A 24138-nucleotide genomic window follows, 5' to 3' on the forward strand; every position below is an offset into this window, starting at 1 on the left:
CCCATACACACACACACATCAAAGCAGCAAAACAAAATGAGAGCCAAATATTTTGGTTTTTATTGAACTCACTGGGCTCAAGGACAGAAAGAAAAAAATGGGATGAAAGGGAGTGGGATGAAAGGGGAGTTGGATGAAATCTTTGGAGAAAGACAGATCTCCACAAACACCCCAGGCCTGGGAACCTGTTCCTGAGAACAGCCGTTAGGGGTCCAGGCAAGCTGCCCTCCAATTCTTCCCCTCCCCTTAAAGGTGCTAGGGACAAAGGGGACCACATGTTAGACCCAGGCACACAGTCCTTCTGTGCCCAGTTTCCAGGCTTTTCCAGAGAAGGAAGCTGGGCTGGTGGCTCTAGGCTTGGAAGAAAGAGAACGTAGAAAGGCATGGTAGGAGAAGGAGTTTGGGGATTGGGGAGGATGAGGGAGAAAAGCTCAGAAACCCAAGCTGGGCATTCCAAGAGGCTGGAACAAGAGGCTGCCCCAAGTGGGGCAAGAAGTGAAGCGGTTCCTTCCTTTCGGAGGGGCTATTGTGCATTGGACTTTGGTCAGCGGCTTTTAACCTGGACGCTGCTGTGCTGGTCTCTCACAGCTCAGGGCCCAGTTTGTATGATGTCAGAGCCATCTTGGCTGCAAAAGTCTCCATGTGCAGAAGAGAAGGTTCAGGTGAACTGAGAACAGGGAGGATGGAAGGGTCTGGAGGACCTGAGGAACTGGTCCTCCTCATGCTTGGACCTTTCTTTCTTCTTGGGTGGTATTTGGGGGTGGTTAGATGGAGACGCTGTTCTCAATGAGGGGAGGGTCCAGGTAGGTGTAGGGCAGTGCCAGACCCTGGTTCCGCTCCTGGATGTCCCTTGAGATCTGGGCCAGGCGGCTCTGGAAGGCGGCGATGCTCCGCCTCGGGGCCTCCTCTGTGAAGTGCTCATCTGGGTAGGTGCCCAGGGGCCTCTGGGAGGACATCAGGTAAGAGGTCAGGATGACATTCAGATGGGATGGGGAATAACGGAGGACCACATGTAACAGCAAATCCAGTCAAGGTGGCTTCTAGTAGCACAACCCAGTTGCAGCCATTGTAAACACTTGCCCCAAACTGCCACCCCATGATCCTGACACGAGGCCCCCCAGCACCCAAACCCCAAACAGAGTAGGGGACAGACTGTGACGTAGGAGCCAGCCAACCCAAATTCAGTACTGCCTCTGCTGGCAAGCCTCTGCCTGTTACTTTGACTCTTTGAGACTCAATTCCTGCATCTGAAAATGGATGGGTTGAACTAGAAAAAAAAATTTTTGAGGCAAGGTCTCACTCTGTTGCCCAGGCTGGAGTACAGTGGTGTGATCATAGCCCACTGCAGCCTCAAACTCCTGGGCTCAAGTGATCCTCCCACCTTGGCCTCCCAAAGCACTAGAATTACAGGTGTGAGCCACCGTGCCTGGCCTAGACCTTTAAAGGTCCCTTTCATACCTGATCCAACTGCTCTGTGAACTAAAAGAACGAACCACACCTTTCATACAACCGAGATCAAAGTAAACACTGCCCAGGAAATATACCCAAGAATATAACAATTACTTCATAATTTCACAAAATTCAACTCCTAAAAACAACCAGCATCCTGGTTCTAAGGTACCTTCACAATCAACCATCGTGATGGAACTTTTGCCAACACAATCACCATCATCCTCCACTGCCACACTTTACAGCACAGCCAATCACTATCGAGAAATATCACAATGAGCTCCAGTCACTGCCATCCTGTGTACAGGACTGTCCCTCCCTCATGATCATATCACACAACCAGCTCATCACGACAACGCAGAGGTCCAGCCTCCTAACCAGCACACACTTCCCATTTACTAGAACCTTCATATAATTGTTGCCAATACTACTGATCTTTTTTTTTTTTTTTTTTGAGACAGAGTCTCGCACTGTCGCCCAGGTTGGAGTGCAGTGGCGCGATCTCGGCTCACTGCAAGCTCTACCTCCCGGGTTCACGCTATTCTCCTGCCTCAGCCTCCCGAGTAGCTGGGACTACAGGTGCCTGCCACCATGCCTGGCTAATTTTTTGTATTTTTAGTAGAGACAGGGTTTCACCGTATTAGCCAGGATGGTCTCGATCTCCTGACCTCGTGATCTGCCCGCCTCGGCCTCCCAAAGTGCTGGGATTACAGATGTGAGCCACCACGCCCAGCCAATACTACTGATCTTTAACAAATTCTTTTTCTCGTTTTGTTGCATTGGCGAAGCCCTCCAGATCAATGTTAAATAGCAGCAGTAATAGTGGGCATTGGGCATTATTTTCTTATCTCTGACTTTAATGAATAGACATCTATGGTCTCACCATAAATACAGTGTTTTTTGAAATATACTTTTGGTTTTTGTTTTTTTTTTTTTTTTTTTTTTGAGACGGAGTCTCGCTCTGTCACCCAGGCTGGAGTGCAGTGGCGCGATCTTGGCTCGCTGCAACCTCCGTCTCCCGGGATCAAGTGATTTCTCCTGCCTCAGCCTCCCGAGTAGCTGGGATTACAGGTAGCCACCACCATGCCTGGCTAATTTTCTTATTTTTAGGAGAGATGAGGTTTCACCATGTTGGCCAGGCTGGTCTTGAACTCCAAACCTCAGGTGATCCACCTGCCTCAGCCTCCCAAAGTGCTGAGATTACAGGCGTGAGCCACTACACCCAGCCTGAAATATACTTCTAATCAAAACTCCTTAAGGGGGTTTCATTTTACACTGAGTTTTTATTAGTAATGGCTGCTCACATTTATCAAATGCTTTTTCAGCACATATTGAGATAATTATATGGTATGCATCTTTATTGACGTAATGAACTATATTGCTAGATTTCATAAGGTTGAACCAACCTTTCATTCCTTTCATTCCTAGAATAAATTAGACTTTATCATGGTGTGTTATTGTTTTATTATTCACTATTGGCCTTCATTGGCTGATATATTTTTAAGATTGTTGTAGCTAAGTGGAATAAGTATATATATATTTTTTTCTTTTTTTGTTTAAACAGGGTCTCACTCTGTCACCCAGGCAGAAGTGTAGCGATGGGATCACAGCTTACCACAGCCTTGAACTCCCAAATTTAAGCAATCTTCCCACCTCAGCCACCCGAGTAGCTGGGATCACAGCCATACGCCATCATGCCCGGCTAGTTTTCTTTTTTTTTTTTTTTTTGGAGAGACAAGGTCTCACTATATTACTCAGGCTGGTCTTAAATCCTGGGCCCAAGCGGTCCTCTTGCCTCTGCTTCCCAAAGTGCTGGGATTACAGGCATGAGCCACTGCACCCGGCCTTATAATTTCATTTTCGTAATAACAGCTAACACGTAAGCACTGTACATGAACCATCGCAACCATACATCAACTCTGAAGACAGGTATTCTTATTATTCTCACTTTAAAGATAAGGAAATAAGGCTTAGAGAGGCCATTACATAACTAAAGTCATATGGGTGGTAGGTGTGGATCTGGGACTAGAGCCTTCCAATGAGACCCACTGCCCTTCTTAGTACTACCAGCCGGGCGCGGAGGCTCACGCCTGTAATCCCAGCACTTTGGAAGCCTGAGATGGGTGGATCACCTGAGGTCAGGAGTTCGAGACCAGCCTGACTAACATGGAGAAACCCCATCTCTACTAAAAGTACAAAATTAGCCAGGTGTGATGGTGCATGCCTGTAATCCCAGCTACTCAGGAGGCTGAGGCAGGAAAATTGCTTGAACCCGGGAGGCAGAGGTTGCACTGAGCCGAGACCGCGCCACTGCACTCTAGCCTGGGTGACGGAGTGAGACTCTGTCTCAAAAAAAAAAAAAAAGTAAAAAATCTTCTCTGCATTTGTGGTTATACGCCTTTCCCATTCCTAATGCTGTGTATTTATGTTCCCTTTCTTTCTCTTTTTTATTTTCCTCCTTGATTAGAATTGTCTAGGCCAGATGCAGTGGCTCACACCTATAATCCCAGCACATTGGGAGGCTAAGGCAGGAGGATCACTTTAGCCCAGGAGTTCAAGACCAGCCTGGGCAATATAACAAGACCCTGTCTCTACCAAAAATCAAAAAATTAGCCAGGCGTGGTGATGCCTGTGGCCTCAGCTACAGGAGAGGCTGGGGTGAGAGAATTTCTTGAGCCCAGGAGTTTGAGGATGCAGTGAGCCATGATCATGTCACTGCACTCCAGCCTGGGTGACCCTGTCTGGAGTTGACCAGGCTTTTTTTCAGACAACCTGACCCTGTCAAAAGAGAGAAAGAGAGAGAAAGAAAGAGAGGGAGGGAGGGAGAGGGGGGAGGGAGGGACGGAAGCAAAAAAAATAGTGCTGTAAGTGACAGTCTGCCACTTCTGGGCCTAGACTTGAAGAAATCTGAAAGCTTGTTTGCAATCTTGGAAGCCAGCCACCGTGCTATGAGGAAGTCCAGCTATCCTGCTGGGGAGAGACCCCTTGGAGAGTCCTGGGGGATAAGACAGCATATGGAGAGAGAGAAAAACCACACAGGTGCACTGAGGCCCCAGACATGTGAGCAAAGCCTTCTGGGAACTTCCAGCACAGCCCAGTCACCAGCTGATTGCATGCAAGTGTTTCACCCTAGCCAGTACCCTCTGGACTGCCCAGCCTAGCCCTGCCCAAATTTCTGATCCAGAGAATCTTAAGAAAAAAGAAATATGTCTGTAGTTTTTTTATTTTATTGTATTGTGGTTTTTTTTGAAATAACAAGTTTTATGTTTTTAAAATCAGATTGACATCTAATTTCTTTTTTTCTTTTCTTTCTTAAAGATGGGGTCTTGTTATGTGGCCCAGGCTGAAGTGCAGTGGCTATTCACAGGCATGGTCATGCACACTGCAGCCTTGAACTCCTAGCCTCTAGGAATCCTCTCTCTGCGGCCTCCTGAGTAGCTGGGACTACAGGCCTGTGCCATTGCACCTGGCTTAATACTTGATTTCTAAAACTGTAGTATAGCCATCAAAAAAACAGAACACACACACACACCAGAGAAAGAAAGAGAAAACACAGCAGAAGACAGAAATATGACACTGGATTCAAAGCCTACTTACTAGCTCTGTGCTGTTGAACAAATTGCTGAATCTCCCTGAACCTCAGTTTTCTCCCCTGTGAAGTGGAACTACCATTTATTGAACATTTATATGCCAGCACGGTGCCAAGCTGCTTTTTTTTTGTTTTTTTTTTTTTGAGATGGAACTTCACTCTTGTTGCCCAGGCTGGAGTTCAGTGGTACCATCTCAGCTCACTGCAACCTCTGCCTCCCGGGTTTAAGTGATTCTCTTACCTCAGCCTTCTGAGTAGCTGGGTTACAGGCATGCATCATCATGCCCACCTAATTTTTGTATTTTTAGTAGAGATGGGGGTTTCACCATGTTGGCCAGGCTGATCTCGAACTCCTGACCTCAGGTGATCCACCCACCTCGGCCTCCCAATGTGCTGGGATTACAGGCGTGAGCCACCACGCCTGGCTGCCAAGCATTTTAAATAGAGCTATGTATTTGGTTCACATTTTAAAATCATGTACACAAAGGATCTGATTTAATAACTGAGACATGATGGCTCCTCAGTGACAGCTGCCATTATTATTGTTGTTATAAATTTCCAAGTTAAACTTTCTATAGTTTATAGGAGAGAGCCCTCCACCCTCATGCTGTTGTCTACTTATCTGTCATCCCTCTGGGACCAGATAGGGACAGGACCCAGAGTCCTGCCATTCCCAGGATATAAGGTAGCAAGTTAAAACTTGCCAGGAAGATCAAATATGTGGGATCTTTCTTTTTTTGTTGTTTTTTTGTTTTTTGTTTTTTGTTTTTGTGTCACCCAGGCTGGCGTGCAGTGGCGTGAACATGGCTCACTGCATTTTTTTACTTCCTGGGCTCAAGTGATCCTCCCACTTTAGCTCCCCCCAAGCAGCTGGGACCACAGGCACACACTAATACGCCCGATTAATTTTTGTGTTTTGGGTAGAGACAGGGTTTCACCATGTTTCCTAGGCTGCTCTTGAATTCCTAGGCTCAAGCAATCCACCGGCCTCAGCCTCCCAAAGTGCTGGGATTGCAGGCACGAGCCACTGTGCCCAGCAACATCTGGAATCTTTCCAGCACCAAAGGGAGTCAAGCGTGAGAAATAAGAATATTCACCTGTTAGAGAGCTTGTGTGCAAGACGGCTGGGTGGAAACAAAGATGATGGGAACCAGTGATAAAGGGCTACTTGCCTGGCCTAAACTCAGATATTGGCCCCTCTCTAGCCTCCTGCCTCCAAAGTTGCCCTTTGCATCCATTCACGCAGCCACAGGAGCACCCTAGCTAAAGCAGATTTAACCATTGGGCCTCAGGCTTAAAAGTCTTGATTGGCGGCCGTGCGCGGTGGCTCACACCTGTAATTCCAGCACTTTGGGAGGCCAAGATGGGTGGATCACAAGGTCAGGAATTCGAGACCAGCCTGGCCAACATGGTGAAACCCCATCTCTACTAAAAATACAAAAATTAGCTGGGCACAGTGGTGGGTGCCTGTAATCCCAGCTACTCGGGAGGCTGAGGCAGGAGAATCGCTTAAACCTGGGAGGCGGAGGTTGCAGTGAGCTGATATCGCACCATTGCACTCCAGCCTGGGTGACAGAGCAAGACTCCATGTGGGGGGGTGGGGGAAGCCTTGATTGGCTACCCTTTGTCTTCTAAACGAACACTGTGCAGACAAAGCCCTACCTTCCTCTCCGCTCTGCTATTTCCATTTGTGATCCTACAAACACACCAGTGATTTCTCGCCTTCGCTCCTTGGTCCTGTTCTTCCCCCTCCCTAAAAAAGAGCCCTGCTCTTCCTCTCTGTCCAACTCCTACTTGTCCTGCAGATTTCAACTTAGATGTCACTTTCTCCAAGAAGCCTTCCTGGGTTCCCCCAGACCCATTTAGGTTCCTCAGGGCCCTGTCCTTACCCCTATCACTGGACTGTAAGCTCACATGGACAAGTTTCATAGCTGCCCATAACAGTGTCTGGGTCACCACTGGTACTCAGGAAGTGTGTGTTGAATGGAGAAATTAACATATAAGTAACTCCTACAACACGGTGGTGCCCTTTTTCATTGACCTGTATGTCTCCTCAACTAGACCACAGGCTTCTTGAAGGCAGGAAGGTCTCAGCCAGCGTTATAGGCCTGGTGCCCAGTGCTGTGTGGACACATAGGAAGTATCCAACAAATGTTTATTGAATGTTTGCATTAACACATGAGTAGTTGATGAATGAACATTCGGATAAATGGATGGACGGACAGATTGGTAACTAAACTGGTATTTGCTTCAGTCTATGTCTTTTGGGATTATCATTTTCTGAAGAAATTGAAGAACCCAAGGCAGTTCTGCAGTGAACATAAATCCCGTCGATCAGTCCTCAAGCCCCCAGACGAAGCCACCACCACCCCTACTGGTGGCCCTAAAGAACCCTACTCCCCTCAACATCCCGTATACACACCTGGTCCTTGGGTTCTTGGCTAACCAACCAGAAGAGGAGGAGGTTGTTACAGCTGATGTTCACTTCAGGGAGGGTGTCTAGGTAAGTCTTCAGGGTGGTGGTCCCCTTGGTCTGGGGTGGGGGCTGCCTCATGGATGATGGAGCATTGGGCATCCAGGCCCCAAAGTCATGCTGTGGAGACCCCCATCCCAGTTGGGTCAGTTGGCCAGAAGGGGAGTATCACCTCCCTCTTCACCATCCCTGATTCCACCTCTGCCGTCCTAGAGGTGATAGTTGGGAAATGAGGGGATCACGGAAAGGCAAGAGAGCTGGGAAATGAGGGGATCATGGAAAGGCAAGAGAGGAAAGGGTAGGGAGTGGAAAGTCCCAGAAGTGGGGCAGGAAGCCAGCTTACTCCTTGTCACTCCCCGCCCAGTGTTCCAGGACTCGGTGGGGTGAGTCACTAGGGAAGGAGGTGGCCCCAGAGTGGAGGTAATCCTAGAAAAGGGCCTTGGGTTGCCATGCCACACAGAGCAAGCTGCTACTCCACCTGGCTGGGTTCTAACCATGAGAGGAGCCCCTAAGTTCTTCTCCCAAATTAACATCAACTTGAATCACCATTACAACCTTGGACCCAGCTCCACCCAGTCATCACCCAATGCCAACCCTTCACCCCACTCAGCTGCCACTCCAACCCCAAGTCTAATCATAAACCCACCCCAACGCTGACCCACCCAAGCTCTCAACCCAAATTCAGGCCTCAAGTCCATTGCTGAGACCTGATGTCCCCAGGCCTGCCCTTTGTAGCCTCACCTGCCCACTGTTGACAGCAGCGTGCTGGGCAGAGCAATTGAAGATGATTGCAGTGAGGAACTTCACCATCTCTCCTGGGGTGCACAGCCGGCTTGGGAAACCTGGGTGTGGGGAGGAAGGGTAGAGGGTGTGGATGGAAGGTACTGGATTCCTAGGGCCAGCTCAGGACTGGGGCTCACCACAGGGGGAAAGTGAGGAAGTAGGGAACACCGAGCCATGACTGTCTTGTCGGGCTGGTTAGGGATGGCCACCACCAAGATTTGTGGTCTCTGAAGTGGGTCAGGATAGGAGATGGGGGCTGGGATCTGGCCAGAAAATCCCCGGCAGGCAGGGCCAATGACAGAGGCAGCTTCAAGCCCAAGTGCCCAGCTGCCTCTCCCTGACTTCCAAGGCACTTCAATCTGCAGCCCCTATTAGGATGTAATGATTTAATCCTACCCGGTTCACCAAGATTTGTTCAAGCACCCAGTATCCAACCATCCTCTGCTGGGCTTAGCAGCAGAGACCCACGCAGAGGGCGTGTTACTGAAAAGCTCACAGTAACAGAAGCAGAAGGAAGCTTCTAAGACCAGAGCTTGGCTCTTTGAGGAGAGGGCAAGCAGGGCAGAAAGGGGCACCAGGAGCAGAGTGGTTAGTGGAGGCCTCCTGGAGGACAAGAGGGGCCTTGTGAGTTGAAAGATGGATGAGCCTCCAATGGAAAAAAGACAACAGAGAAAAGCATTTCAGGATTGGAGAGGGGAGAGCTCCAAGGCTCAGCCCTTGGTCCATTCATGCTGTGCCTCACTCATCTCATCCAAGTCCATGGCTCTAACCACCTCCCACTTGCCAACAACTCCCAAATTCCCTTCTCTGGCTGTGCCTGGCGTCTGAGCTCCAGACTCAGCCGTGGGCATTACCCTGGAGGCAGCTTACCTGACGTCCCCACCTAAGCATCTACACCACCTCACACTGCACACTGGCAAGGACAAATGCCCGTCAGATTACGTCACCCCTCGCTAAAACCCTCGGAGGGCTTCCCATCTCACTCACCTTGTCATGGCCCTACTTGATTGGGCCCCAGCCCCTTCTCCCACTTCATTTCCTTCCTGGCTGTTCACTTATTCGACTCCAGCTGTGCAGGCCTTCCTGATAGTTCTCAAATGCACCAGCACATTCAGAATTCAGGGCCTGCACACTTACTATACCTCTGCCTGCTACTCTTGCCCCAATTATCTTCAGAACTAGCACCTCTCCTTCCTTCAGCTACTAATGCATCAGCTCCTGAGAGGCCTGCCCTGGCCACCTCCCTGAAATGATCTCTTTACCTTGACACACTGTATCCCCTGATGCTGTTTCAGTTTTCCTCTTAGCATTCATAACCACCTGACATGTGTTTGTTGATTCTCTCTTTCTCTCTCCAAAAGAATGTTAAGCTCAACTAAGGCCAGAATTTTTGTCTTTTTCACTACTAAACCTCAGCACCTAGAACAATACTTAATAAATACCAAGAGCCCGGTAATTATTGGTTGAATGAAGGAATGCATGAGAGGGTAAGAAGCCAGAGCATGGGAGGCAGAGGTGGGAGGATTGCTCAAGCCCAGGAGTTTGAGACCAGCCTGGGCAACATAGCAAGACCTTGTCTCTAAAAAACATTTTTTAAAAAGGTAACTGGATGCAGTGATGTGGTGGTGCATGCCTGTAGTCCCAGCTACCAGGGAGGCTGAGGCATGAGGATCACTTGAGCCTGGGAGGTCAAGGCTGCAGTGAGCTGTGATCACACCACTGCACTCCAGTCTGAGCATCAAAGTGAGACCCCGCCTCAAAAAAAAAAAAAAAAAAAAAAAGCCAGAGTAGGAAGGCACGGGGTATTAACAGGGTGAGGGAACAGGGAGGGGACCTAATTGGAGGTGAGGCTGCAGAGGCATGCAGGGCCATGTGGTTTCTGGGCAGTATTTCAGAGGATTAGCAGGGTGGTGGCCCTGCAGGCTTGGCGGGCAAGCAGCGAGAGGCTGGGAGAGGTGGGACTGGTTGAGAAGCAGCTGCCACAATTCCAGAGCACTATGAGGAAGACTACAACTAGGGTGGTGACAGTAGGGATCAGCCACCTAACTGGATTTAGGAAGACAGAGAGGGAAACATGAGTCAAAGAGAACTAAGGTTTGGAGTCAGGCTGACTGGACGGAGGCTGATGCAACAGAACAGAGAGGTTGGGAGGCAAGACCAGACATCCGCCTGGGAGTGTGTGGGAGTTTTCTGAAGGTTCTGTTCCTGGTTGAGTCTCTAAACTCGGAGGCTGAGAACAAAAAAGTAAAGCAGGCAGACACACCTGTAGTGTCAGCTACTTGGAAGGCTGAGACAGGAGAATCAATAGAGCCCAGGAGTTTGAGACCAGCCTAAGCAACAGAGCAAGACCCTGTCTCAAAAAAACAAAACATGAGCAAAAACAAAAAATAAAAACAAAGAAGTGGACAGACCATCTATAGGAACTTTTCCGTAGTTCATATTGCCTATTTTTCCCCCATTGGAATATGGAACCTGACCGAAATGGTGAAAGAAACCCCATCTCTACTAAAAATACAAAAATTATCCGGGCGTGGTAGTGTGCGACTGTAGTCCCAGCTACTCGGGAGGCTGAGACAGGAGAATCGCTTGAACCGGGAGGTGGAGGTTAACTTGTGTGTTTTCCCTTTTTAAATACTGTATGTGACTCTATAATAGGTTTGTACTCATTGAAAGAGCTGTTGTCAATCTGCAGAATGTTCTGATGCACTAACTCAGAGAAAAAAATGTAATAAAGTAAGATAGGAGAGTTGAATTAACCTCAGACTGACTGAGGTTAATAAGTGTGTTTTCCCTTTTTAAATGCTGTATATGAATCTACAATAGGTTTATACTTGTTGGAAGAGCTGTTGTCAATCTGAAGAGTGTTCTGATGCATTAAATCAGAGAAAAATGAAATAAAGTAAGATAGGAGAGTTGAATTAACAGTAATTAGATCCCCCTTTGGGTCTTAAGTAGGAAACAGACACCCCAAATATGAAACAACTGCCCAAGGAGGGAGGAGCTGTCAGGATCAGCACTGATCATGATTAATAGCAGGTTTGCAAAACACAGGGAAGGGTCACCCTTTAAAAACTCCAAGGCCGGGTGCGGTGGCTCACACCTGTAATCCCAGTACTTCGGGAGGCCGAGGTGGGCAGATCACCTGAGGTCAGGAGTTCAAGACCAGCCTGTCCAACATGGCAAAACTGCATCTCTACTAAAAATACAAAAATTAGCCAGATGTGGTGGCAGACGCCTGTAATCCCAGCTACTCGGGAGACTGAGGCAGCAGAATCTCTTGAACCCAGGAGGTGGAGGTTGCAGTAAGCCGAGATTGTGCCTCCACACTCCAGCCTGGGCAACAAAGTAAGACTCTGTCTCGCACCAGGCGAGGTGGCTCACGTCTGTAATCCCAGCACTTTGGGAGGCTGAGGCGGGCGGATCATGAGGTCAGGAGATCGAGACCATCCTGGCTAACATGGTGAAATCCTGTCTCTACTAAAAACACAAAAAATTAGCTGGGCGTGGTGGCGGGTGCCTGTAGTCCCAGCTACTCCGGAGGTTGAGGCAGGAGAATGGCGTGAACCCGGGAGGCGGAGCTTGCAGTGAGCAGAGATCGCGCCACTGCACTCCAGCCTGGGCGACAGAGGGAGACTCCGTCTCAAAAAAAAAAACAAGAAAGAAAGAAAGAAAGAAAGAAAGAAAGAAAGAAAGAAAGAAAGAAAGAAAGAAAGAAAGAAAGAAAGAAAGAAAGAAAGAAAGAAAGAAAGAAAGAAAGAAAGAAAGAAAGAAAGAAAGAAAGAAAGAAAGAAAGAAAGAAAGAAAGGAAGGAGAGAGAGAGAGAGAGAAAGAAAGAAAGGAAGGAAAGAAAGAAAGAAAGAAAGAAAGAAAGAAAGAAAGAAAGAAAGAAAGAAAGAAAGAAAGAAAGAAAGGAAGAGAGGTTGGTGGCTGGAGGGGCCACGTGGCAGGACAGGAAGGAGGGTTTGAGAGAAAGTTCCCAGAATCCTCTGAAGTCAGAGATGGCTCCCACTGCACGTTGCAGAATATTGACAGAGCTCAGGAAGCTGAAATGAATGGGTGGGCTTGTGGAAAGGTCAAGGGACCAGAGGGGCACAGAGCAGTGGATGCAGCAATGGCTTTGGAGACAGTCGGAGCTGGCTCGGAACCCGCCTTGCACAGCCTTCTTTGTGCCTCTTTCCATATCTGCTAGTTGGGGATATTAATAGTATCTACTTCAAAGGCTGGTCAATAAATAACTGATGGGAGTAGGGTGTGGCCAAGCAAGTGCTAGCTCATCAGAGCTACACGGAAAGTGGGATAGAGAGGGGATACCTGAGCTTTCCCGGCCCAGGAACGCCTGAGCAAAAATCTCGCCAGTCCAGGCCTGCAGCTCCGAATCCTGCTGCACAGATGCGTCACTGGGATAATAGTAGCCCACGATTTCTGAGACAAAGCTGCAGGAAAGAGATGCTGGTACCACTGGAGTAACCACGGGCTCAGTCCTGGCCAGGAAACCGAGGCCCACTGCTGCTCAGGCGGCAGAGAGACAGATAGCCATGGGGGTTCAGCAGGGACCCCCAGGTGCAGCTGGAATCTGAGTGGCCGGGCTTCCCTTAAGTCCCACTCACTCCTGAGCCATGGGTGCTCCACACTTCCTTCCTGCACAGGGGCCTGGGGGGTGGGCAGGGGAGTGCACGAAGAGTCTGATTCATGCTGCCACCCCCCTCCCCACCCAGGAGGAAGGAAGACCTGCCTGCCACAGGCCCCAGCCCATGCTTAAATGATGCACCAGCCCTGATACTCTGACTCCACTGGACACCCCCTCCTTCCCCTGCATCCACACACCCCCAAGCCCCTCTCTGGACGGCAGCTACCTGCCATTTCAGAAGGGACCCCAAACTCAATTCATACCCTCAAGAATTCCCTATGCTAGGGTGTGAAAACACCTGAAATCCCCAGGCGCCATGAGCGCAGGGACCACAATGTCCCAGGCCAGGAGACCCTGGTGGGACTGCTGGTCCCGCCCCGCACCTCGCACCTCTCAATGGCCGCCCAGATCTTCAGGCCGTCGTCTCGGTAGTGGTAGTTGGGGATAGCCAGGACGCCGCGGGCCCGCAGGCTGTCCGGAAGGCAGAAATTGGTGTAGGTGAAGTGGGCCAGGCCCGTGCTCATGAGGTAGATGAGGCCTTGCCTCCCGATGGACGTGACCTGAGGACACAGCACAGCTCGGCTCCCGGGCCGGCCCAATCCCCACCCTAGTGTCTGGGCACGAGATGGGGCTGGGGACTCGGCCCAAGGAGGGCCTTCTTCGGTTCACCAAGCAATCCACGGATCAAATACCCACGAGGGCCTGCCTGACGCAGGCTGCGCAGCTTGACGCCCCATTACGTGCGTGGGAGGAGATCCTTAGGTATTTGGTAACTAAAAGAATGAACTGAAAGCCGGGGAGCCTGGCTGGGCTCAGGGTCAGCTGAGGGTAGTGCTGGGGCTCAGGATGAGGCTGCCCTGCCTGTGGACCCGTGGCCCGGCGGGGCTGGGGGCGGTGGGCGGGGGCGGTGAGGCTGCGGGGGCGGGGGAGACAGGGTCTGTGAAGGGGGCCGGTAGGAGACCGGAGACCGGCGGAGTGGGCGGGGCTGGTGGAAGAGGCAGTGATTGTACAGGTGTTCTCACACCCCAGGTGTCCTCACAAGGGGCTTGGGCGCAGAACAGGGCTTGGGGGCGGGTAGCGGGGCAAAGCGTCTTCGGGGGCGGAGATCAGTGACCCGGCAGGGAGGCCGCACCTGGTCCACGAGGCCCTCGGGGTTGAGCAGCGTGGCCCTCGCGATGGTGTTCACCTGCAGCGTGTATCGAGTGTGGGGGAGTAGGAGCTGCGAGCGGAGCGGATCACGTGAGCTGAAGGCCGGGGACAAGGCCGCCCGGCCCCTGCCCCGCTGGGCCCCCACCCGGGGTCGCGGACCTTGTAGATGGGGTGGCAGAGCGGCAGCTGGCGCAGCGTGGCCATGGCGAAGGCCTCGCACAGCAAATGCGTGCACAGAAAGTGCGTGTTGTTTTCGTGCACCAGGAACTCAGAGTTGCGCACCCACGTCTTGGCCAGCAGCCAGTCCCATTCGGAGTCAGTGGGCAGGAAGATGGGGCTGTCAGGCCCGGGGGTCTGGCTGAGCTGCGTCCGAAAGGAACGAGGGATGATGGGGCTCCGGGCTGGCGGTTAGCACCTGAGCCCCCATCCCGGGGCGGCGGCGCCGGGCTCACCTGGATGGCCAAGGGCACCAGCGCCCCCTGGGGGCTGAGCCACAGCAGGCACAGTGGGGCGGCCACGTACTGCTGGCGGCCGTTTAGGCAGTGGGTGGGGGCCTCCGCCAGGATCCAGTAGTCCGCTAGGAAGATGTTCCCCCTCTGCAGAAGGCACACAGAGGCTGAGTGTCCCTCCCTACTCGCGCTCCACTTCCCTCCCATTTCCCTGCCCACTTCCACCCCAGAGAGGAGCTGAGGCCCCCAGCTGAGGTCTCAGAAATTCTTGGTGCCTGAATTAATGGCCAAAGTGGGGTACCCCGCCCTTCCCAAAATGTCCGGAATGAGGTCCAGCTGAGTCCCTCCTTGTGCAACAGCTCGCCTGCTGAGACAAGCCAGCGTCCTCTCCTCCTCACCTCATACCTAGTCCTTCCCACTCTCAACTCAGATGGAATCCCCTTCTGACATCTGAGCACTATGTATCCAGCAACAGCTAAATGAACACATGAGAACTGACCAACCATGTCTCTAGCTTTCTGGAGGAGAATGCCTGAGGGCTTGACTGCCCCAAAAAGACTGGGTTAGCCTCGTCTCCGACAACCTCAGAGCTCCTAGTTCTCCGTGATCTTCCCTGATGCATCTGGTGGCCCTACCATTGGCCTGTCCTAAAACAGCTTTCCTCTAGGCCTCAGCACCTCTTCAGGAGGCCTCAAAACAAGGGCAAGCCTTCCTCAAAGATGTCCCTGCAGCCACCCTGCGCGTTCACACCATTTCACCAGGCCCCATCTCAGGCCTCAAAGCCTCCCAACCCCAGTCTGACCCTCATCCGTATCTGCTCTACTTAAAGTGTGCAGGACCATGGCTGCCCAGAGGATGAGGCCCACAGGTGAAATGCAGCCCAGGCCATTTCCATACCCTCCACACACATCCCTTGTCCATAATGGTGACACACCCACCTCCCACCTATCAGGCCCACTGCCCAGATCCTTACCCACCTCTAGCTCTGTCTGCAGGCATGTGTCCTGTCCCAGCAAGGGGGCCACCATGTCATTGGTGACAGGCAGCTTGCTGGGCAAGCTAGAGATGCAGTGGAGCATGACGGGATTGACACCATTCAGGTACTGGTACCCAAAGAAGTGATCTTCACACCAGTGCTCTGTGACATACTCTGGGATACAAGAGAGGGGACCAGTTGGTCTAGAAACTACTTCCCTAGATCCTAGTCCTGCCAAGTCCTTTGCTTATCATTGTGGTTTAGGTTTTCTTCCCAAAAACTCTATGAGGTAGGAATCATTATATCTTCAATTTAATACTAGACACTAAGGGTCAGAGAGATGGAGTGACTTGCACAGCTGAGTGGCAGAGCAGGGATTTGAGAACCTAAGCCTTTCTGGACCCAAAGCCCGGAGCACTTGGTGGTTGGAGTAGGGGAAGAGAGTCGTGTGTCCCTGATGAGGATCAAGATTCCCTAAATGACTGTGACCCTCTCCCAGGCAAGCAGAGTGTCTCTCTCTCCTGAATCCCCTGTTTTTGTCCCCTCCTCAGAGAAGGTGCTTTGTTCTCCAGAGGAATCTGGGAGATGCCACCAGTGAAGCCAGGAGCCCCTCCCACTCAAATCCAGCAGTCTCCCTGGGAGGGCTGGGAGAGGGCCCTTTCCCAGGAAGGAGAGGAAGGGGTCTGAGCATGAGATAAGGTGAGGGGTAGACATCTCCTGCCTGGCTCTGCTCACTTGTCGTGAAGGTCTTATGGCACCAGAAGATGTTCTGCATGTCATCCAGCTTCTTCCAGGAGCCCTTGCGATCCAACAGCCCTCGAAGCTTCATTCCCAAGGACCTGATGGGAGAGGAAAAGATGAGGGTGAGGTCTGGGGGCTAGAGTCTGCTGGGAATCACTGTGTGCCCCTCTGCCTGGAGGAACTGACGGGGTCCATCCCCAGAGTAGAGATGCCTAACAATCCACATGGGAGAAAAAGTCTAGTACCCGGTGGAGGCTCTGTGGCCTCGGAAGACCCTGGTTCATATGCAGCCATCCCTAAGACAGGTCATTGCACTTGCACATAAAGTTGGCACACACGGCCCTATGGTGCAGACAAGCCACCCTCACTGGTGTTTTGGCCTGTATTCTCCAAGCTGCCCTCTTGTCACAGACCTCCACTGGCTCCCCTCTGCCTACAGGACAGAGCCCCAGCTGCCAAGCCTGACTAGCCCATGGAGATCCCCACCAGCCAGCTTCTACCAACCTTTCCAGTATTTTCTCCCACCCTAGGCATTAGACAGGGCCAACCAAGACCCGCTCTCCAAACATGATCAGAGACATGCTTTGTACACTGGAAGGTAGAAGAGGGGCTGGCACGTGGAGAGATGCATACTCTTCACTTTGTGGATGTCTGTGCTGTTTGAATTTTTACAGTGAGCACTATTTTTTTTTTCCTTCTTTTTAAGATGGGATCTCCCTGTGTTACCGAGGCTGGAGTGCAGTGGCTGTTTAGAGACACAATCATAGCTCACTGCAGCTTCAAACTCCTGGGCTCAAGCAATCCTCCTGCCTCAACCTCCCAAGTAGCAGGCACTACCATGTAGTACCTCCCAAGTAGCAGATGTGCCCCACCATGCCCTGCAACATTATTTTATAATATGGAGAAGCATGCTTGAAATTAAAATGGCTTTCCCCCACTTCCAGGTCTTCATTTAATCTTCACCTCTGGTAGAAAGCCATCTACTCCATCTCTATGATAAAAATCTATCTCTTCTAGGCACAGCTCAGAAGCAAAGTCCTTTATGGAGCATTGCCTGAACTCCTCCTTGCACACATGAACTCCTCCATGAACACATGCCTTGGATCTTTCACACTCATCATTTCCCACATTGTATTGTAAGCCCAGTGGACATATATTATCCCCATTATACTATGAGCTCCTCAGGGCAAGGACTTGGCTATGTCTGCCCCACCATATCCAGTTCATAATATGCACTCACTAAATAAGCTGAATCAAAGGAAAGGGAATGGAGGCCAGATGCGGTGGCTCACGCCTATAATCCCAGCACTTTGGGAGGCCAAGATGGGCCGATCACCTGAGGTCAGGAGTTCGAGACCAGCCTGGCCAACATGGTGAAACCCCGTCTCTACTAAAAATGCAAAAATTAGCCAGGCGTGGTGGTGCATCTCTGTAATCCCAGCTACTCGGGAGGCTGAGGTGGGAGAATTGCTTGAACCCAGGAAGTGGAGACTGCAGTGAGCCAAGATCGAGCCACTGCACTCCAGCCTGAGCAACAGAGTGAGACTCCGTCTCAAAACAACAACAACAACAACAAAAGGAATGGAACATGGAACAAGTAGGCGTGTGGCAATAGGTCAATAACATAGGATGTATAAAGATGTGTGGGCTGGGCGTGGTGGCTCATGCCTGTAATCCCAGCACTTTGGGAGGCAAAGGCAGATGGATCACCTGAGGTCGGGAGTTTGAGACCAGCCTAACCAACATGAAGAAACCCCATCTCTACTAAAAATACAAAATTAGCCGGCATGGTGGCACCTGCCTGTAGTCCCAGCTACTCAGGAGGCTGAGGCAGGAGAATCGCTTGAACCCAGGAGGCAGAGGTTGCGGTGAGCCGAGATCGCGGCACTGCACTCCAGCCTGGGCGACAGGAGTGAAACTCCGTCTCAAAAAAAAAAAAAAAAAGTGATGTGCCCTGAAAAGTGTGGGCACCTGGGGAAGGGAGGGTGGCAAGGGGGGATGAATGATCGGACAGGCCCAGGAACGATGTCACCTGGGCTCCTAAGCACTCACTCACTCACTGCACACACACTCGCTGGGGGCCCAATTAACACCCAGTGGGTGGGAAAACCACGAGGAGTTCAATCATGAAAGCAGAGGCTGAGGAGTCTGGGGGCAGGGAGAGGGGAACTGGGGAGCACAAGGGGGAGACAAGGGCAGGAAGGGGGCAGGGGGCATGTAGAGAGGGAAGACTGTGGGGCAGGGAGAGGGAATGAGTCCAGAGAGGAGGGACTGGGGCAGGGAGAGGGGATACTGGGAATAGGGAGAAGGGGCAGTCTGGGAGCACGGGGAGGGGGATGGATGGGCAGAGATGTAAGATGTTCATTAGAGGGACAATGGCCTTACGCAGGGATGGCATTGAAGAGCAGCGAGATCGTCTTGGTGGCTGAGTATCGAACATTGGGCTCCATGTACATCAGGGATGGGATGTCAATTTTCATGGGGAAGCCGGGCAGGTACCGATTCCCACTGCTGGGGGTCGGGGGAGTAGAAAGACAGAAACCAGTCAGTGGGCCCTGAAGCCCAGCTGCTCAACTCCTTCCCTCTTTCCTGCCTTCCAAGTCCCTGGGTCTCTCTTACTCCCGGCTCCTCCCCTGCCCTCTCTGCTCCTGAGCTAAAATAACCTCCTCACTCTTGTCCCCTGTGCCAGACCCTTTGGGGCCATCTCCCATCCTGATGCTTGAATGAAACTGCATTGTCATAGACCCCTACCCCTCCTTCCTGGCTATCAGGACCCCATCCTCCCGACAGACCTTCCACTTGACTTCCTTTCCCCTCCTTCCCAAGCTTTAATCTTCACCTGTCACCCTGGTCTACACAAGTTGTCGTCTTTGTCAAGGCAAATTTCTTGTCTGACTCCATCTCCTGAAAGCTGTTGACGTCTACCATGCAGGGGAAGCCAGGGGCATAGATCTTCCAGCTTCCGAGGGAAAGAGGTCAGAGGTGGCAGGTCATGCTCGGGATAAACACAAGTCTTAGCTTTAAAGACACGGCTTCAGATTAAAACTTCAAAAACCACCTACTTTCTGGATGAGTGACAAGGAATTGGACATTTCTCCATGAAAGCACTGGCTTCACATAGGGTAGCATTTAAGGATGGCATTAATGCCCACACTGGGTTAGAGATGGGTTTGTGTTGAGATTAAAATCATGGCCGGTTTAGTGGGGGAGGCTGAGAAAGGACTGAGATTGGTGGATACTTCAGGTCACTTCTGATATTGGGATCTGGGTTACATCAGGGACAGTTGAGGGCTGAGTATGGATTCATTGGTGGTGTTGGGACAACTGTTACTATTGGTGTTCTCAGTTCAGATTCAGGGTCACTATTAAAGTGGGGTTAGGTCCAAATAAGAGTCCTGATCCAAGCTAGGCACCCAAGGTTGAGAATGAGGTTAGAGTTAGGAACAATCTGATTAAGACTGAGGTCAGGATAAAGATGGGGAAAGAAGTCAAATTAGGCCACCCTCACCGGTAGCATTCTTGTCGGGCCCGGAGCTCCCGTGTCCTGTGATCCAGGAGGAGGGGAAGAGAGTCCTGACAAATAGTTCTTGCTGTGGGGAATGAAAATTACTCTTGGTATAAGTCTCTTTTCCAACAACATCTTCTGCAAACCTTGCCTGAACCCCCTGACCCTTGAACCCAATCCGACAGCCACATCCCTGTGAAACACGTGGCGGTGCCCCCACGTTCTTTGTGTATTCATCAGTAGAAGGGATTCAAGACAGCTTCACCCCCAAATTATAGCAATCTTCCCAATTGTTGGCATGTTTATCTCCCCTCCAGACTATAAACTCCCTGAGGGCAGAAGTCGTCTTGTATTCCTTTTTCTTCTTTTTCTTCTTCTGTATTCCCGGCTTCTAGCATGGTGCCTGGCACCATGTGTATAAGATGCACTTTAAATGACTGATGAACAAATATATTTTGTGAAGCTATGGATGGATGTGCTGTGGAGATGGATGAGAGTTTATAGTGAGGTCTATGGAAAACTTATTACGGACCATGGGGTAATATTCATTTGCCTCACTTTGACCTAGAATATCCCTCCTTCATCCTGAGCCTCCTCCCAACACCCAGAGCAGCCCTACTGTTGCCTCTCCAGATCAGATAGCTCTGGAAACTGAAGATGCTCAAGCCCAGCATCTGCAGAAGGCCCCAGAAATTCAACAAGGAATCCTAGCAGCACCTCTCAGGGACCTCATCCACACTAGAAAAGCTAGTAGTAGGGGAGGGAATGGGGCCTCTCCAGCTAAAATCTCTGAGCAGCCAGGGCTTCTCTACCTGTTAAAATCTAATGACTCAGGGTGCAGGTTAGTTCCTCTCTGGGGTCTGGAGGAACTCACTCTGGAGAAGTGCAGAGGGAGGCTGTGGAAAGCAAAGTGCTTCCTATGTGTATGAGAGAAGGGTGCCTGCCTATATGAGTGTATGTGTCTATGTGAGTCTCCAGAAGAGTCAATACCGTCTGCAAAACCCTCGCATTTCAGGGCTTGAGAGGCTCCCTTTTTTCAGAAAACATCTACTTGGGAGCCCAGAGTTTCTGACCTCAATCTTATTCCCTATACTCTGGGGCTCTGTGAGACCCCACTCCTAATCCCAAAGGACACCTTCTGCAGTACAGTGTAGTCCTCGTCTCTGGCCCACCTGTTCCTGGCCTCAGCTCCACGGTGCAGTAGCCTTCAATCCACTGATAGCAGGGGAAGTGGGATACACTACCATCCGGTTCGGTGACACAGATGCGGCTACAGTACCAAGAGTCCTTGCGGAAGAAAGCGTAGCGCTCCTTGTGTACACGCAGCAGCAAGAGCTCACCCAGCTCCGCTGTGCAACGCACCTTGTACTTCTGTACCTGAGGGGACCAAGACAGCAAGCAGGTGAGAGGCGGGGAACTGCCAAGGCGGTCCTTGCGCCTTGCAAGATGCATCTACACCTAAGCCTATTCGGGCATACAAACCTGAGCTGCTCCCAGCCCATACCGGGCTTTTGTATGAATTAGAAAAAGCTTCCCCGGGCCGGGAGAGGTGGCTCACGCCTGTAATCCTAACACTTTGGGAGGCCGAGGCGGGTGGATCACCTGAGGTCAGGAGTTTGAGACCAGCCTGCCCGATGAAACCGCTTCTCTACTAAAAATACAAAAAATTAGTCGGGCGTCGTGGCAGGCGCCTGTAATCCCAGCTACTTGGGAGGCTGAGGCAGGAGAATCGCTTAAACCCGGGAGGTGGAGGTTGCAGTGACCTGAGATCACACCACTGCCCTCCAGCCTGGGCAACAAGAGCAAAACTCCATCTCAAAAAGAAAAGAAAAAGGTGCCCGAGCACAGTGGGCACTGCATTTCACTAGCTTCCTAGGCCGGCTGGGAACTCTTGTGGAGGCCACCTGGGGCTGGCAGAGGCAGGCAGATCCCCTCGATAAGAGGAAACCCAGGCTCAGAGAGGGGAAGCGACTTGCCCAAAGCCCACGGTCAATTATGGGAGGAGTTTAGGAGCCAGGGGAAGTCCCTCTACTCCCTGTCCAACGCTCCTTCCTCTCCACAGTCCTGCCTGGATGGAGTTCATCATCTCCAGGAAAGACAGGGACCTCAATAGGGAAGGTGAGGAGGTCAGGGCCGGTATCCTGAGTTCAGCAGGATCTCAAGAGTCCAGGAGGAATACTCCTCCCGCCTGCGGCCCCTGCCCCTCTGAGGTCGCGCTTCCCTGTCTCCTTTGTACTCACCGATCCAGGGGCGAAGTCCCTGCCCATTCGATCTAGCCGCTGCTTGGGGCTTTCACCACACGTGCCCACCAGTGTGACAGAGATGTTGTCCAGTGTGCCGGCCCTCAGGTAGGGACCAGTGGTCACACACAGGCGGTACACTGCCATGATGGGAAGGAGGAAGGGATGCCCCGGCAACGCTGGCCGCAGCAGCAGCCGGCCTGGAGGAGAAGAGCGGCACGCCGGACAGGGCTGGGTTTCTGGGCGGAGGGCTAGGGGCTGCGGGGCTGGGTAGGGCTGAGGATGGGCCCAGCTCTCTCTGGGATGTTCCTGGGCTTTCTCTCTCCGAAGCTCCCTGCTGGCGGCTCGGGCTTCCTCTCTCCGCCCACAGTCTTGCACTCTAATACTTGTTTGCTTGCCTCTGACACAGCCGGTCCCTCTGGCTGGCTCACCCAGATGGATATCAGGAGCCTGGGTTCCACTGCGGAGGGAGGGATCAGATGCTGAGATGGAGAAAAGGAGGTAACGCCTGTATAATTGGGACACTGCCCTCCGCCTGGTCAGCGGCCCGGACTGATGCCCTGGAGTGCTTGTCCGCCCACTCCCCAATGTCCCCCAAGATCTGTTCCTCCCCATTCCCAGGCAGAGATGAGCACAGGGCACCTGCATTCCTACGTGTGAATCATCCGTGTGAATCACTAAACAGTGGAGAGTTGCACTTGGTCATAAATCACACGTGACTGCAGCCACACGCAGGTGAGTCGCACACGCATTCCAGCACATGTCAAATGGTCAGGAACAGCTCCCTGTCACCCCATACACCGATCCCCCCACGCATGGCCCTCTTTGTCCCCAGCCTTTGGCACGCCCGACCTCATTCTCTGCTCTGGAGTAGGGCAGGTCAGGAAAGCGAAATACAGCGCCGGCAAACAGGGTCTGAATGCCCCGCGTGGCATTCTTTCCGCTCCAGGACCGCCCTGGGCCTGCAGGATCCTGGGCGGGAGCCCAGGTGTCCGGGATCTGGGCCACTAGGGACTGGGGAGGAACCTCTCAGAGAAGCCCATAGCCCGCAGCGGCCCCGCGCGGCCGGTTCCGGCGCCGCACTGTTCCAGCCTCTACTATGGTACAGTCCCTGCGTCGCAGCCTCGGCGGGGGCTCTAAGAACGGGAGGCAGAAAAAGCTCAATCAGCAGCAGGCGAGCTTCACCCGCTGCTTCCAAATCTGTGCCAAAATATTCTATGCTGCACAGATAAAATCCTCTGTCGGTTCTACAAGCCTGGCTTTTCCTATAGAGAACCCTCTTATAAGCAAAAAGTAAAGCTCTCGTGAAGAGCCCGGATAGCTCAGTCGGTAGAGCATCAGACTTTTAATCTGAGGGTCCAGGGTTCAAGTCCCTGTTCGGGCGGCATGTCTTTGCTTTTGGGTACCGCACTTCGCATAAAATGGTAACAAAAATAGTTACTAGTTTTTAAAGCTAGGTGATACAGAAACTTGATTTCCACAAAATACAGCAAACGACGGTGGAGGGTAATAAACATACTTTAAAACAGTACAAACGCGAGCCGTATTATCGAATTTACATTTTCTGGTAGCCACATTACAAAGAATAAAAAGCAAGCGAAATTAATTTCACGGATCTATTTTACTTACCCTAATATACCAAAATCTTATTTTAACATATAATCAACATTCTAAAAATATTAATGAAATTTTAAGTCTTTTTGTTTGTACAAAGCCTTCCTTCAAAAGAAGATGTGTATTTAGAAGCTGGCAATACATCTGAATTCATATATTTCAAGTGCTCGATAACGGTGTCTACCATATCCAACAGCAGACTTTGTTTTGTTTTCGTTTTAAGTGACGGGTGTGGAAGACACGCAAAATAGAATGTCCAGTAATGTACACAATCTTGAAAGACACCACGAGGGAGGTTCCATGGTGTAATGGTTAGCACTCTGGACTCTGAATCCAGCGATCCGAGTTCAAATCTCGGTGGAACCTTGAAGCTTTTCTTTTAATATCAGCATGTTGAATATTGTTAATTGATTTTCACAGAGGGGATACTCCTATGACCCAAGATAATACGACAAAAAAAAAAAGTAAACTAGGACACTACCAATTATTTGTGCTTTTCCTACCGGATAATTGAGTCCTATAACACAGTGTTAAGAGAACGTA

General features: G+C 51.2%; 1 protein-coding gene and 2 non-coding genes across 12 annotated transcripts, besides 7 other annotated features; 2 read left to right on the top strand and 1 right to left on the bottom strand.

Moving 5' to 3' along the window:
- ALOXE3 (arachidonate epidermal lipoxygenase 3) lies at positions 38-23054 on the bottom strand. 10 transcript variants are annotated; one of them, NM_001165960.1, is made up of 16 exons: positions 22834-23054; positions 21982-22441; positions 20914-21118; positions 19745-19826; positions 19076-19195; positions 18622-18747; positions 16231-16334; positions 15497-15669; positions 14523-14666; positions 14230-14433; positions 14054-14140; positions 13312-13481; positions 12606-12727; positions 8253-8353; positions 7461-7631; positions 38-944 (listed from the first exon to the last, which is right to left on the bottom strand). In NM_001165960.1, exons 1-16 carry the CDS (start codon positions 22914-22916, stop codon positions 765-767), a joined length of 2532 nt encoding a protein of 843 aa, NP_001159432.1. In that variant the 5' UTR covers positions 22917-23054; the 3' UTR covers positions 38-764. The 10 variants fall into 10 exon arrangements, with proteins under 10 accessions (NP_001159432.1, NP_067641.2, NP_001356375.1 ...); NM_021628.3 differs by lacking the exon at positions 22834-23054 and adding an exon at positions 22624-22652; NM_001369446.1 differs by lacking the exon at positions 22834-23054 and having other exon boundaries at positions 18622-18744.
- Positions 14303-14632: a silencer, noted in NCBI's record as "silent region_8151". NCBI's record gives its function as "represses an Ori minimal core promoter by ATAC-STARR-seq in GM12878 lymphoblastoid cells {active_cell/tissue: GM12878}" and the evidence as "EXISTENCE:reporter gene assay evidence [ECO:0000049][PMID:35858748]".
- Positions 21818-23017: an enhancer, noted in NCBI's record as "CDK7 strongly-dependent group 2 enhancer chr17:8020998-8022197 (GRCh37/hg19 assembly coordinates)". NCBI's record gives its function as "activates an origin of replication core promoter dependent on BRD2, BRD4, P300/CBP, MED14 and CDK7 cofactors, with strong dependence on CDK7, by STARR-seq in HCT116 cells {active_cell/tissue: HCT116}" and the evidence as "EXISTENCE:reporter gene assay evidence [ECO:0000049][PMID:35650434]".
- Positions 22739-22818: an enhancer, noted in NCBI's record as "active region_11661". NCBI's record gives its function as "activates an Ori minimal core promoter by ATAC-STARR-seq in GM12878 lymphoblastoid cells {active_cell/tissue: GM12878}" and the evidence as "EXISTENCE:reporter gene assay evidence [ECO:0000049][PMID:35858748]".
- Positions 22899-22968: an enhancer, noted in NCBI's record as "active region_11662". NCBI's record gives its function as "activates an Ori minimal core promoter by ATAC-STARR-seq in GM12878 lymphoblastoid cells {active_cell/tissue: GM12878}" and the evidence as "EXISTENCE:reporter gene assay evidence [ECO:0000049][PMID:35858748]".
- Positions 23119-23218: an enhancer, noted in NCBI's record as "active region_11663". NCBI's record gives its function as "activates an Ori minimal core promoter by ATAC-STARR-seq in GM12878 lymphoblastoid cells {active_cell/tissue: GM12878}" and the evidence as "EXISTENCE:reporter gene assay evidence [ECO:0000049][PMID:35858748]".
- On the top strand, positions 23293-23365 carry TRK-TTT3-5 (tRNA-Lys (anticodon TTT) 3-5). Its single transcript has one exon. It is a non-coding gene; the product is annotated as a tRNA-Lys (tRNA).
- Positions 23739-23788: a silencer, noted in NCBI's record as "silent region_8152". NCBI's record gives its function as "represses an Ori minimal core promoter by ATAC-STARR-seq in GM12878 lymphoblastoid cells {active_cell/tissue: GM12878}" and the evidence as "EXISTENCE:reporter gene assay evidence [ECO:0000049][PMID:35858748]".
- TRQ-CTG1-5 (tRNA-Gln (anticodon CTG) 1-5) lies at positions 23890-23961 on the top strand. Its single transcript has one exon. It is a non-coding gene; the product is annotated as a tRNA-Gln (tRNA).
- Positions 23919-24008: a silencer, noted in NCBI's record as "silent region_8153". NCBI's record gives its function as "represses an Ori minimal core promoter by ATAC-STARR-seq in GM12878 lymphoblastoid cells {active_cell/tissue: GM12878}" and the evidence as "EXISTENCE:reporter gene assay evidence [ECO:0000049][PMID:35858748]".

The sequence above is a fragment of the Homo sapiens genome, chromosome 17, assembly GCF_000001405.40.
Source record: "Homo sapiens chromosome 17, GRCh38.p14 Primary Assembly".
NCBI classification, from domain to species: Eukaryota; Metazoa; Chordata; class Mammalia; order Primates; family Hominidae; genus Homo; species Homo sapiens.

Bases quoted from the DNA above. Each gene is read 5' to 3' on its own strand.
- ALOXE3 (NM_001165960.1), bottom strand. From the start codon at position 22,916: ATGCCACGCGGGGCATTCAGACCCTGTTTGCCGGCGCTGTATTTCGCT. The intron at 19,827-20,913 runs GTGGGCCAGAGA...CATTCCCCACAG, and splicing joins GGAGCTGAGGCCAGGAACAG to CAAGAACTATTTGTCAGGAC. The intron at 16,335-18,621 runs GTAAGGCCATTG...CTCTCCCATCAG, and splicing joins CTCTTCAATGCCATCCCTGC to GTCCTTGGGAATGAAGCTTC.